This window comes from Homo sapiens, chromosome 14, assembly GCF_000001405.40.
Source record: "Homo sapiens chromosome 14, GRCh38.p14 Primary Assembly".
In the NCBI taxonomy this organism is placed as follows: domain Eukaryota; kingdom Metazoa; phylum Chordata; class Mammalia; order Primates; family Hominidae; genus Homo; species Homo sapiens.
This window is the reverse complement of record NC_000014.9, coordinates 62,766,733-62,780,672: the sequence shown is the minus strand read 5'-3', so window position 1 is coordinate 62,780,672 and position 13,940 is coordinate 62,766,733. Positions and strand designations below refer to the sequence as shown.

General features: G+C 37.9%; 1 protein-coding gene across 3 annotated transcripts in view; it reads left to right on the top strand.

The window, feature by feature from the left end:
- Positions 1-13,940, top strand: part of KCNH5 (potassium voltage-gated channel subfamily H member 5) — a 345,995-nt gene that overhangs the window by 264,786 nt on the left and 67,269 nt on the right. Inside the window, exon 10 of one of the 3 annotated variants that reach the window (NM_139318.5) lies at positions 749-945. The exons of 1 other annotated variant lie outside the window; for it this stretch is intronic. In NM_139318.5, the coding sequence (NP_647479.2) occupies positions 749-945 (197 nt within the window). Of the gene's footprint in view, positions 1-748; positions 946-13,940 lie in introns of those variants that run through there. One more of the 3 variants, XM_047431275.1, reaches the window with a different exon arrangement.

Genomic DNA, 13,940 nt, shown 5'->3' with positions numbered 1-13,940 from the left:
CAGTGGGTAGTGCTCTGAAGTGAATAGGTGATTTTTGTGTGATTTCTAGAATTTTTAAAAGACGTCTACATTTGATGATAGTATAGCACTTTTTATAGAACTGTTCATGGGATAATACATTTGAGTCTCCATGTTTTACTCAACCTGGGTCCTTCAGCTTTGTAATTGTGGATGGGGAGCTCTTGGGCTGGACTCCGAGAACCTGTATAAGGTTGACTAGGTAGAGAGGGAAGGGCATTCTTGGGGAACTAAGTTGTGGCAAGTTTTAATTGGCTTGGGGCACAATACATAGTTACTGAATAATGTGTATTTAATATATGTTGGATCAGCCCTAGATTTATAAAGGCTGTTACAGCAGATCCTTCTGTATTGCATTTTGTTATCTTTACCAGAAGGACCAGAGGCAAGGATGAAACTAAGAAGTCACCTTTGCTCCTTCTGGTCAAAATAGGAAAAGTTAAGGTGGCAGAAGATAATGAAATTATTTGTTAAAATGAGGTGTTTGGCTTCTCTGTTGGATCCATTTATTCATGCCACTCCAGATTTTCATCAATAACTGAATTCAGGGTGATGTTACTTTACATATTATATGAAAGCATTGTGTATTGTTATGTGTTTATAGATGTGGTTATACCCTCAGCTCTAAATTATGCTAGAAGGTCAATACTGTATATGAAACTGAATAACAAGAGTGATTAAATAAGAACAGTGTTAGATACTTGAATATGTATCTTATACTGTTTTCTAGGGAAGGGTGATGTATTTGGAGACATCTTCTGGAAGGAAACCACCCTTGCCCATGCATGTGCGAACGTCCGGGCACTGACGTACTGTGACCTACACATCATCAAGCGGGAAGCCTTGCTCAAAGTCCTGGACTTTTATACAGCTTTTGCAAACTCCTTCTCAAGGAATCTCACTCTTACTTGCAATCTGAGGAAACGGGTATGTTCTCTGGGTCTGCTTTTTCTTATTAGTGTCCAGAGTATTAATTAATTCAGCTCTATTAGCTGAAGAGTAGAGAAGATATTTTGTTTTGCAGCACTAAATTCCCATCAATGTAAAGTGGCATAATTTTCCTTCTCTTTATTTATATTTTGTTTACTTTTTAAGGAAAAAAACCCTATTTCTATGAGTAAAGATTTGAATCTTTACCATTTAAGATACAAAATGAAAAACAGACTTGAAGAGAAACAAGCTGTGAACTCTATTATGATGTAGTTAGTTCTTGGAGTTTATAATACTGCCATAAAATCAACTCCAGTGTCTTTTACCTTTTTATATGGATTTTTTTAAAGCTGGTAAAGTTAATCAACCTGGGTGCCTGTTTTACATTCTCAGCTCTCTTTAGGCACTTCTCATTTCGTAATCAATTCACAAAGTTTACTCTTTCAAAGAACGCTATCTCAAAAATTAATTAGCCACATTGACACATCCTACAAATATGGATAAGAATCCTTTATTTTACACTGCTGCTGCACATTTAACCTTCACTGCCATTTTGTAGCCAATGAGTGTGACACAAATTTAATTTGCATGAAGAAATCTCCTAGTTCTGGTTTCTAGGTCATTGGGCATTGGGTAAGGCTTTTTTATTGCCAAGAATGAAATACATGTTTGGATAACTGCACTTAAGTGATTTTATCTAAAATGATCGCCTGTCTGTGGTGAAGTATTTTGAAATAACAGTCATTCCTTTCTATAACCTGCTTAAATGAAACCTTCTCTGTAGTTAACAGGGAGGGAAGAAATTGAGCAAAGAGATAAATTAATGTCTATACTGTAGCAACATAGAAATGAACATAATTAAATCAATGTAATTCCTACTTAGGGTTCCAAGAAAGGATGAGACTAGCAGGAGTAGTGTTTGTACTGGCTGTATCACATTTATTTGATCTATACTTGAACATCATTTTCAGTTCATACGTTTGTTATCAAATAGATGGAGCATCCAGAATCTGTGAGAAAGAATGAATAGCTGTAGAGAACACACAGACTTAAGCACAGAGTACGTATGCTCAATAGACCTATAGTTAGATGTGAATATTATGTCAAACACAAATAGTGGAAAGTGAAGGCAATGATGAATGTGGGAAAGGGAAGCTAAATATTAACTAAATGTGGAAGTTTCTCACTTATGTGTTAGGGAGCTCAGAGTCCCTTTCAGTATTAAGCAGGAATGTCTCCTTTGGTCTGTGCTCTGCCTTCTGCAATGACAAATTTCCCTTCAACAAGGCAACCTGTTTGGTAGTTGACTCTTGTAGTGTGGTTGGCCCTTGAATAACACAGGTTTGAACCACGAGGGTCCACTTACATGCCAATTTTTTTTGCCCAAATGCAGATGAAAAATACAGTATTTGTGTTATTTGAAACTTGTGTATACCAAGAGCCCACTTTTCCTGTATGTGGGTTCCACAGGGCAGACAGCAGGACTTCGGTATGTAAGGATCTGGGTGTGTGAGGGGATCCTGGAACCAGTCCCCCTCGTATACCGAGGGAAGACTGTAGTTTTAAGTTCCCTTCAATCTAAAATGTGCATTTTAAAATCTTCCCCCATACTGCAAGATTACTGAAAACTCCTATCCAACATCCGTACATTCCTCAGGACTTGATGTTTATAATATTCCTGTGAAAGAAAATGGGCAGTTATTTTTCCTTCAAATCACATGAGAATACTCAGGCCCAGAGGGATTAATATCAAACAACCAAGTGACACATTTGCAATGCAAGGGGCCAAGGAGGGACAATGGAAACAGATCACCAGTAGAACATCTGTCACCACTTTTTCTCTTACACACACACACACACACACAAATACACATACACACATGCATTCATTGGTTGTGACAGCTGAGTGCACACTGGTGTGGACTCAGTCTTCTGATAAGAAGACAAGCTAGAGACAGAAAACTGTTGTTGGTTTTTCAACAGGACCCAGAAACGCTGTGCCTGTCTCCATGGGTGCCAATTTGCTGAGTAACACCAAGCGGCTTTCTTCCCTCACAACCTGTTTCCTGTTATAACTGGTGTCAATTTTTATAATTCTAGCCTCTCTGCTCTTGATGCATTGTCTCAGTAACTTGGCAAATAGTAGGAAAAGGGTGTCATTCAGTTTCACTTTATTTTCAGAGAAACAATATACTCATGAAAAAGATAAGTGGTGAGAAAATATTATCTAATGGGTAGTAATACTAGCTACCATCTGAGAACATGTTGTATATAGCCAGGCACTTCAACATAGTTTACATATAATATCTTATTAAATGTCAACGACCCACAAACAGAGCAGTATAGTCTCCATTTCACCCATGAAGACGTTAAGTTTCTAAGACTGGAACAGCTAGTTCCCTAATAACCTAGGAGTCAGGGCCTGCATTTGAATTCATCTCTATGATTCTAAAACCTGTATTTTTTAGACTACCATGTTGTTTTAGCTTGTCAAAGCCACTGACATTTTCTTTTCCATAATATTCCACAGAAACACTGTCAACAATTTATAGTTTCTCATTCACTTATTCACTTTATTCCAATTGATCTATTAATGAAAACATTTTGTTCTTATTGCTATTATTGTAAAAATTATTGCAATGAACATTCATTGTGAATTCTATAACCAAAACTATGTCTTTAGTATGCTATTGATATCTCATAGCTATCATAGCCATTGGTTAAGGGTGTGTTCCTACTAAGTAAGGGAGCAGGTTTTGAATCCAAGTTGTCAGCCATGGCATGGTACAGTTCTGGCCACACATGTGTATCCAGTGGCTCAGTGGAGAGGTTTGAATAGTGTGTGGCTTTCCATGGCTGCAATAAGGAGGAAAGTGAGCCTTCTTTAGCTGCTTGCCTTCATCTCCATTAAGGAAAAATAAGATGCTTACTGTGCGAATATAGCTCTTCCTACCCATCCTTAAGCCCCTCTATGTAAAAATTCTAGAGCTATAACTAGAATTCCATCAAATTCTACGAATTGACGAATAACTAGAATTCCATGAAACAACTACGGCATGGAATGGAAAATTTTTCTGTCAAGGACCAGATAGTAAACAATTTTGGATTTGTGGGCCAATCTCAACTACTCAACTTTTCCACTGTAGTATGAAAGCAGCTGTCTTAGTCAGCTTGGACTGCCATAACAAAATATGATACATTGGGTGTCTTAAGCAGCAGGAATTTATTTCTCACAGTTCTGGAGGCTGGGAAGTGTATGATCAAATTACTGGCCAGTTTGGTTCCCTGGTGAGGGTTCTTTTCCTGGCTTGCAAATATCCAGCTTCTCACTGTGTTCCCACATAAGAGAGACAAGAAGGGGAGGTAGAGAGATGGGAGGTGGGAAGGAAGCCAGCTAGCTCATTGGTGTCTTATAAGGGCACCAAGTCACTCATGAGGGCCCCAACTTTTTTTTTTTTGAGATGGAACCTTGCTCTGTCACCCAGGCTGGAGTGCAGTGGTGCGATCTCGACTCACTGCAACCTCCGCCTCCTGGGTTCAAGTGATTCTCCTGCCTTAGCCTACAGAGTAGCAGGAATTACAGGTGCATGCCACCACGCCCAGCTAATTTTTGTATTTTCAGTAGAGACAGGGTTTCACCATGTTGGTCAGGCTGGTCTTGAACTCGTGACCTCGTGATCTACCCACCTCAGCCTCCCAAAGTGCTGGGATTACAGGTGTGAGCCACCGCGCTGGCCCCAACTTTATTACCTCTTCTAAACCTAATTACCTCCAAAGGCTCCATCTCCAAATACCATCACATTGGGGATAAGAGCTTCAACAGATGGATTTTGAGGGGGTAAAACTTAGTCAATAGCAAAGCTGTAGATAATACATAAAGAAATGAGGAAGATTGTATTTCAATTACTTTACTTACAATCAGGTGACTGCCCAGGGGCCTTAAGTGTGTTAATTGTTGAAAAAAGAGGACTGGAAGAAGTTAAATGGGGACAACAGTGGGCATATGAATAGAATCGCCCCACCTTTATTAGAAAGCAAATCTATTCTACTTGCTGCCTATTCAGAGGGTTATGAGATGGAAAATGCCATAAATATTAATAAGAAGTAGCTACACAAAGCAGGCAGATAGCATGAAAGAGTAAGGCAGGATTTATAGTTACTGTGGAAATGGAGAGTTCATTTCATCTGTGAACGAGACAGCTGTTACTCACTCTGGTAGGACATTGCCTTGTGGGGATGCTGGGCTAGTGTTGCTTAGTCCTCATATTTTTTTTTCTCCAAGAGGCCAGAAGCACATTTTTATGGGAAAACACATTTGTTTGGTAATTGATTTGATTTGTTTTTAAAATTCTGTGGTCAAACAAAATAAGTTTGCTTGCTATTGGTTCAACAGCTCATGATCTAAATGGAATCAGTTAATGAACTCCTGGTCTCATGGTGCTAGAAACCTGAGATTTTTACCTGGGGCCTGGACATTTTGATGAAAACAAATTTTATTTTATCTATTTTCTAACTGACATTTAGCTTTTCCTTTAATTGGAAAGGTTGCTAGACAACTACAGTGTTATTAGAAGTACCAAAAGCAATTATATTAATGGATATTTTCATATATCATATGTGCCAAAGATATCTTGAAATGCCATTTATGCTCATTACTATTTAACAATTATGATAGTTATTAGACTTGCTGCTAGACAGAAGTACATAGATTACTGTAAATTATTTGAAAATATTTTGATAGGATTTCAATATATGTTTCCTTTGCAATCCTACATATTTTATTTTGTGCATTTAGAGCAATTCTTTTAAGGAGAGGTCCACAGGCTCTGCCAGACTACTGGAGATTAAGATCCCATGTGTGAGAGTCAGAAGCTAAACTGAATTGAGCAGAAGGACCTGCTGGGGTTTTTTTTTCAATAATAAGAACACAATTCCGTAGTTTCCAATAAGTTTAAACATATTCAGAAAAGGGATGAGAGAGAAGCAGAGGAAAGTTGACTCATTTGCTTACTTTATGTATGTATTTATTTAACCAATTCAAGATGCTATTTCCTGGAATGACAAAATGGTATTCATTAAATTGATGACCAGCTCTTAGGTATACATCAAAGAAAGTAAGCAACACACCTTCTTTGACACACACATAAAAAGGTAACACAGGTGACACCTACATTTTAAAAACTTCTTATTAGACTTTTAAAGTTAATATTACAGTTCCTCCCATTTTACCTATTTGTTGCACAATGATTTTTACCATTTGTGTAAAAAAGAGTTAACCTGGCAGGTATGACTATTGTCCTTTGAAAGACTTGCTTATAAAGCTGGCTCTTGTGAACTTGATTTCGGGGGACTCTCACCACTAACTGATGAGTAGCTCTCTGTGCCTTAATTGTCTGTTCTAACAAGGTGGGTTGATGCTGAATATCAACTTTCCTTCCCGAAGTGTGGAATTTTGGCATATGTCAGGAAAAGATGCCTTTGTGACCATCTCCAGTACAAAACCAGAAGCACCAAGTCCTTCATGAACTTCCCTGGTTGACAGCATTTCTCGTGTGTTGTCATACTCTTGTTTGTGCCTGGCTTCCCCCAGACTTTGCCCATGCCCCTTTTCCCTTTGCTAAATTTTCTTTGTATCTTATGCTGCAATAGTCATAACCATGAATATGATGATATGCAGAATTCTGTGAATCTGCCTAGTGGATTGTCTGACCTTGGTATGGACTTGAGGGTAACCAGTGCTCCATATATAAAGGTTGGTAGGAAATCTGTATCCTCAAAGGTCCTCAAATCAGCAGATATATTGGTAATTTCATTGTAACCTTTTTTTCCATAAAAGATACTGAAACCTACAGACAGTATGTTTTATGAGTAAAAGAGAATGAACCATTTAAAAATAAGTGTTATATTTGTCCATAAGGCAGTCAAGCGAATTTCATTTCCTTGAAACTTAAAATATATGTTACATGAATACTGCTGGCTACAATAAGCATGCCTGAGATTTTAAATTATTTCTGAATATTTTCTTCACTTTCAAGATAGCAAGAACATATTTTTCTCCAGATTGACTATTTAAATAGGATAAGAGAGGAATTTTATTTGCTGTTTCTATACGTCTTCTCATGAGACACTTTGTTGAAGTGTGGCACAGAAAGTATTGGCTGGCTCACCATATAGCCATGCATCCATCCAGCCCATAACACATAACATGGGGTTGTGGACATAAAAGACCAGGTGCCTGCTTTCCAGGAGGCTCCAGTCTAGTGAGAGATCATGAGTCAGATAAGTGCTACGAGAGGGTTATTCTCAGTACACAGGCGGCATAAAGGAGATGAATTCAGTTTGTCCAAGGGGAGGAAACAGGGAAGGATTCCAGGAGGTGACAAGGACACAGGAGTTAGGATTTCATTTCAAATAGAGAAATAATCTAGAACAAGGATGCGTCTTGTATATCACCAATTTCATTTTATTTTCTTTAGAGATGAGAAAAATTCAGACCTAAGAAATTAAGTGATTGCCTAAGTTCACTTAGCTAGTTAGTGGTAGAGCTGAGACTGGAATCTAGTCCTTGGAAGCTCATGCTGGCAGTGTTTCTACTATTTAACCTAGAATAAAAGCATTTCGAAGAAGATTGTCAGTAAAATCCAATACTTGATTGTGTTCATTTTTAATAGGGAAGGATAATATGTGGCATCAATTTGCATGTGATTCATAGATTGATTTTAGTTTTTCATACTGTGGTTCAGGATAAAACTAATAGTGAAGCCAAAACAAAACAAGCAATAAGCAGTGTTCAGAGTCAGTGGACAGGACTCTCAATCTGGGCATGAACCAATACGTCTAGTGTGGCCACAGCATATCTGTCACCTGCATTGTAAAATATCTCATTTTAGTGAAAGCATTTAACTTTCATATGAGTATTGTTTAAGAAGTGTTACTGAATTTAGTAATATTGTCTTGCTGATAATACTGCATTCTGATATACTCTCTGTTAACATGTCAATACTGCTGTACTGGTTAGTATAAATACATAGAAAGATAAAAATTCTCACATTAAAAAAACTGCTACTTTTTTTTTTTTTTTTTTTTTTCAGACAAAGTCTCACTCTGTGTCCCAGGCTGGAGTGCAGTGGCACGATCTTGGCTCACTGCAACCTCCACCTCCCAGGTTCAAGCAATTCTCCTGCCTCAGCCTCCTGAGTAGCTGGGATTACAGGTGCACGACACCACGCCTGGCTAATTTTTGTATTTTTAGTAGAGACAGGGTTTCACCATGTTGGCCAGGCTGGTCCCAAACTCGACCTCAGGTGATCTGCCCATCTCAGCTTCTTGAAGTACTGGGATTACAGGCATGAGCCACAGGGCCCGCCTGCTACTTTTTCACTTTTGTATCTTAAGTTATTTTTAAAAAGATATTAATACTTTTATATTAGAAGTTACAAAAAATATTGACAAGCTTACCACCAAATGTGTACTAAATTATGTATACTAAAAATATTAGTTAATCAAAAAAAAAGGAAGGGAAGGAGAAAAAGAAAATACAAAATTGAATATTTTCATATAGAACTGGAAAAATCTGAGACTTGTTTGGTAGCAGGTAGAGAATGTGTTTTTTTTGTTGTTGTTGTTAGGGCTGAAAACTAACAGAAGATTACTATGCAGCCAATTCCAAAAATGCAAAAGAAGAATGTAAACTGAATTTTGAAAAAGAAAAAAATAACTAAGATTGAACCATGTTAATACAGGCTAAAATTATATAATCAAGCGGGTTTCCCTTTTAAATACCATGTCTATGTTATATCGGTGGGTATAAACCCTCTTGTGGTTCCAGATTGAGTGATCATGGCCAGAGAAGTGTTGTCTTTTCACTCCATGACTCTGCTTATTTTGTCACTGGTGTAATTAAAGTTTCTAAGCAAATGGCTCTAGAGTTCTAATACCTTTACTATTGTCATGGAGTGGGGCCCATTGGATGTTGATAAAAATGATGTCAAACTGACATCCTTTAGTAGTGGTCTCAAAGAATTGCTTCCATTGTGGCTTCAGAGGCTTATCTTCCTTTAGCTCCATAGTTTCTAGTTTAGAGTCTTTTTGTTTGTTTTTGAGGCAGAGTCTCGCTCTGTCACCCAGGCTGGAGTGCAGTGGCACGATCTCGGCTCACTGCAAGCTCTGCCTCCCGGGTTCACGCCATTCTCCTGCCTCAGCCTCCCGAGTAGCTGGGACTACAGGCGCCTGCCACCATGCCCGGCTAATTTTTTGTTTTGTAATAGAGACGGGGTTTCACCATGTTAGCCAGGATAGTCTTGATCTCCTGACCTTGTGATCTGCCCACCTCGGCCTCCCAAAGTGCTGGGATTACAGGTGTGAGCCACCGCGCCTGGCCTAGACTCATTTTTATTAAACATCTCTATACCACTTAGTTCAATGCACAGGTTAGTCTGGTACCCCTTGCCAATATTTCTTTAACCCTTGTATTAGTCTGCTTGGCTTACTATCACAAAATACCATAGACTGAGTAGTTTCAACAACGGAAATTTATTTTCTCACAGTTCTGGAGGTTAGAAGTCCAAAATCAAGGTGCAGTAGGGATGTTGTCTGGGGACGTTTCTCTCCTTGGGTTGCCACTGGCCACCTTCTCACTGTGTGCTCACATGGCATCCCTGCAGTGCCTGTGTGTGAGAGAGTGAGAGAGCTCTCGAGTCTCTTGTTATAAAGACACAAGTCCTATTGGATCAGAGCCTCATCATTATGACCTCACGTAACCTTGATTACTTTCTCAGAAGCCTTGTCTCCAAATACAGCCATACTAGAGGTTAAGGCTTCCCCATATGAATTTGCGGGTGGGAGACATAAACATTCAGTCTGTAACAACCAAGTTTTATATTTTAAGTTAAATATGAAGAAATGACTTTGAAAATATGTTAAAATCAAAACTTACAGCTGGAGTGTAACATTACTGGGGATGGATGTGCAGCAGCAGCAGCAGCAACAACATTCAGTGCTGATTTTTATAACTTCTGGGCAATGTATAATTATCAATACCAGCAAGGTTTTCTTGCTGCCCTACAGTGATTTAAGAAGGATTGCTATTTAAACTTAGAAAAAAGTCCCCAGGCATGATCAATCCGAATTGTAAAATGGAAAAACAGAACATAGAGGTACATGTAGATTCCATTTAACCCTAAAAAGCCACTGTCCTTTTCTACAGATGGCACTGTTCTTGAGTAGAGATCAACTGAAGCCAGCTGGCAATGTTATGGAGAAGCGTAGTAGCAATCCTGTATTTTGATGTTCCAGTGGTAAGAAATAGTGGTTTGGGTTCACTCTGGCATTAGCACAGGCTCAGAACTCAATAATGCTTTTCTTTCCAGAAAACGTTCATATTATGGTGAATCCAGCAGCACAAAATGTCATTTTTTTCTGTGATCAATGAAGCTTCTCAGTAGCAATGATCTTTTGTAAATGAAAAACATACTGGAATTGGATATCAAACAGGCATAAAGTATTTGCTTGGTGTACATGTGTCGCAGATTGCATCTATTTCAGTAGCAATACGAGCATCTTCGAAGAAATGGTCTAGGAGTGACAATGGGTGTTCCAACTACTTTTTTTTCTTTTCTTCACCCACCCTCCCCACAATGGTATATTAGCTAAACAAAATAGTAGAGCCCGTTTGTTCCACGAATCCATCAATTCTTGATGCTGTGGAAAAGACATTACTAAAACATTGTCCACACTTGCAACAAAAGATAATATAGTTTCCACAAAACCCTCAAATAGTACGTAGTATCTATGTTTACTTCTCTCATAACACTGATTATGGTACTTTGGTTTCTTATTTACATTTCTATTTTTCAACTAAACAATGAGCTCCATACAGTAGGTATTTTCTGTAATACTTTATTGTCAATGGCCAGAATAGAGTCTGCTATATAATTAAATGAATGAATGAAACGTGAATCTGTCACGCTGCCCAGCAGTTTTTATCATCACTGACCAGAATAATCACTGTTATCTAAAAACACACAATATCTTTGATAACTTTGGCAATAAGCCCTATGTAATAGGATTATGAAAATTACCATTATTAATTGGTGTTAAATCACGATTAGAGTTAACTCCCAGCTGCTGTTTCTAACCATTTGTGCCTGCAAATTCTGCACAGTCCTGCAGCACCAGCTTGTCTAGTGCATTCAGAGTAGTACAGCAATTTTGATATCACTGTGGAGTGAATTGAGATCACCCGATGCCAGTGGCTGTGATTGTCAGAGTAGTGCCTTATTCCCATTGTGAAGGACTTTGAAGAGAAAACGATTGCTCTGAAAACCCTGCATGCCACATTTGAATCTGAGCAGAGTGTAGATATAACTCTCATTACCTCAATTGATCATCAGGACTGCAAATTCACTCCAACCTACTGGCCCTGCTGGCAGTAGCTCTGCTTACATGTTATGGTTTGTAGAAATTTCACTTCCAAAGTGATGCTACTCATCACTTCACAGTTTACACGCCACAGGCGTGATGGCGTTTGAGCTTGAAATCAACACTGTAAGACAAGTGAGTTAAGGGAGGTAAGGTGCTTCGCTCATGGCCATACAGGTGATAATTGTTCTGAGCCTGCAGCCTCAGTTTTTCAACTCCAAGCTGGCTCCAATTCCACTGATGGGGGTAGAAAGAGGCAGACCTTCAACAATTCCTGAAGTTTGTCATGTGCATTTAGATGAAGCAGAGGCCTAATTATGGAGTCTTTTAAGCCCTTAAGCTGCTTCTATTTAGGGCTCTCTGTTGGTCTGCTTCCAGACGGAATAAAAACTTTTCCACATTTAGTCACCAGGACAGAGGTTCACAGATACCTTGCTCCTGAATATGCCTCCAAAGCAGTTATTCAAGGACAGTTTCACAAGTTTCAAAGTTGGGGCTGGATTCAGTAATTTACCAACATTTTGAACCATAGGTAATACTGTCTGTTCTTTGCCAGCTCTTCTTTTTAAAACCAGAGTTTATTTTTATTGCAAGAAAATACATGTTTTAATAGTAAACAAGAAGAAAATAAATAAGCCTTTAATAGATAGAAAAGTATTTAACCAACATAATGTAAAAAGATAGACATTTTACAAATTATTTTTCTTGCAAATGTCTATTCAACAATCTATTTGAGACATTTGTTTTTATTTTAGGTCTGAGTCCTGCCTCACCATAATGCATCTCTAGAGGCATCTTAGCTGGACGCTAGACTGTTTGTTTCTAAAATGTCTACTACTTATGAATTCTCAGCCATTAATATTTGATATGATTAATAAATGATGTGCTCTATCACATCATTTTCATTTAAAGGAAAATACTCCTTTTGAATTAGAAAACAAGGGTTTGTATTAATGTTAAGACTTAAATGTGTGTATTATTTTCTTCCTTAATGCCTTTTGGCATTGATTTAAACTTAGGATACATGCAAATTTTCTTATCCTAACTACTTAGGCCTTGTTTTACTTTTTCTTTGTTTTTAATTTTTTTTATAATTTGTATAAATTTAAGGGGTTCGAGTGCAGTTTTGTTATATGAGTATATGGCTTAGTGGTAAAGTCTGGGTTTTTAGTGTAACCATGACCTGAGTAATATACATTGTGATCGTTAAGTAATTTCTCATCCCTCACCCCTCTCCCACCCTGGCACCCTCCCAAGTCTCTAATGTCTATCATGCCACACTCTAGGTTCATGTACACACATTACTTAGCTACGAGTTATAAGTGAGAACTTGTGGTATTTGACTTTCTGTTTCTGCGTTGTTTCACTTAAGATAATGGCCTCCAGTTCCATCTATGTTGCAGCAAAAGACATTATTTTATTGTTTATAATGGCTGAATGGTATTCCATTGTGTGTATACATATCACATTTTGTTTATCTTATTGACTTTTATTTTAGGTTCGGGGGTACATGTACAGGTTTGCTACATGGGAAAATTGCATGCAATGGGGCTTTGGTATACAGGTTATTTTGTCACCCAGGTAATAAGCATAGTAAATGACAGCTAGTTTTACAAACCTCATCCTCCACCCTCCAGTAGGTTCTGGTGTCTATTGTTCCCTTCTTATTGTCCGCGTGTACTCAGTGTTTAGTTCCTACTTATAAGTGAAAACATACAGTATTTGATTTTCTGTTTCTGCGTTAATTCACTTAGGGCAATAGCCTCCTGCTGTATCTGCATTACTGCAAAGAACATGATTTTGTTCTTTTTATGGCTGTGTAGTATTCCAGTGTGTATATATACCCCATTTTCCTTATCTAGTCTACCATTGATAAGCATTTAGGTTGATTTCATGTCTTTACTATTGTGAGTAGTGTTGCAGTGAAAATATGCATGTGTGTGTCTTTATGGTAGAATGATTTCTATTCCTTTGGATATATAGTTAGTAATGGGATTGCTGGGTCAAATGGTAGTTCTGTTTTAAGTTTTTTGACAGATCTCCAAGCTGCTTTCCACAGTAGGTGAACTAATTTAAATTCCCACCAGCAACATCTATGTGCTCCCTTTTCTCTGCATCCTCAACAGAATCTGTTGTTTTTTGACTTTTTAAGAATAGCCATTCCAACTGGTGTGAGATGGTATCTCATTGTAGTTTTGATGTGCATTTCTCTAATGACTATTGATGTTGAGAATTTTTCCATATGCTTGTTGGCTGCATGTATGTCTTCTTTTGAAAAGTATCTGTTCATGTCCTTTGCTCATTTAAAAAATATTTTTATGTTTTTAATTTTTTGTGGGTACATAGTAGATGTATGTATTTATGGGGTACATGAGATGTTTTGATATAGGCATGCAATGTGAAATAATCATATCATGGAGAATGGGGTATCCATCCCCTCAAGTATTCATCCTTTGTGTTGCAAACAATCCAGTTACACTCTTTTAGTTATTTTAAAGTGGACAATTAAGTTATTATTGACTATAGTCACCTTGTGCTATCAAATACTAGGTCTTATTTCTTTCTACTTTTTT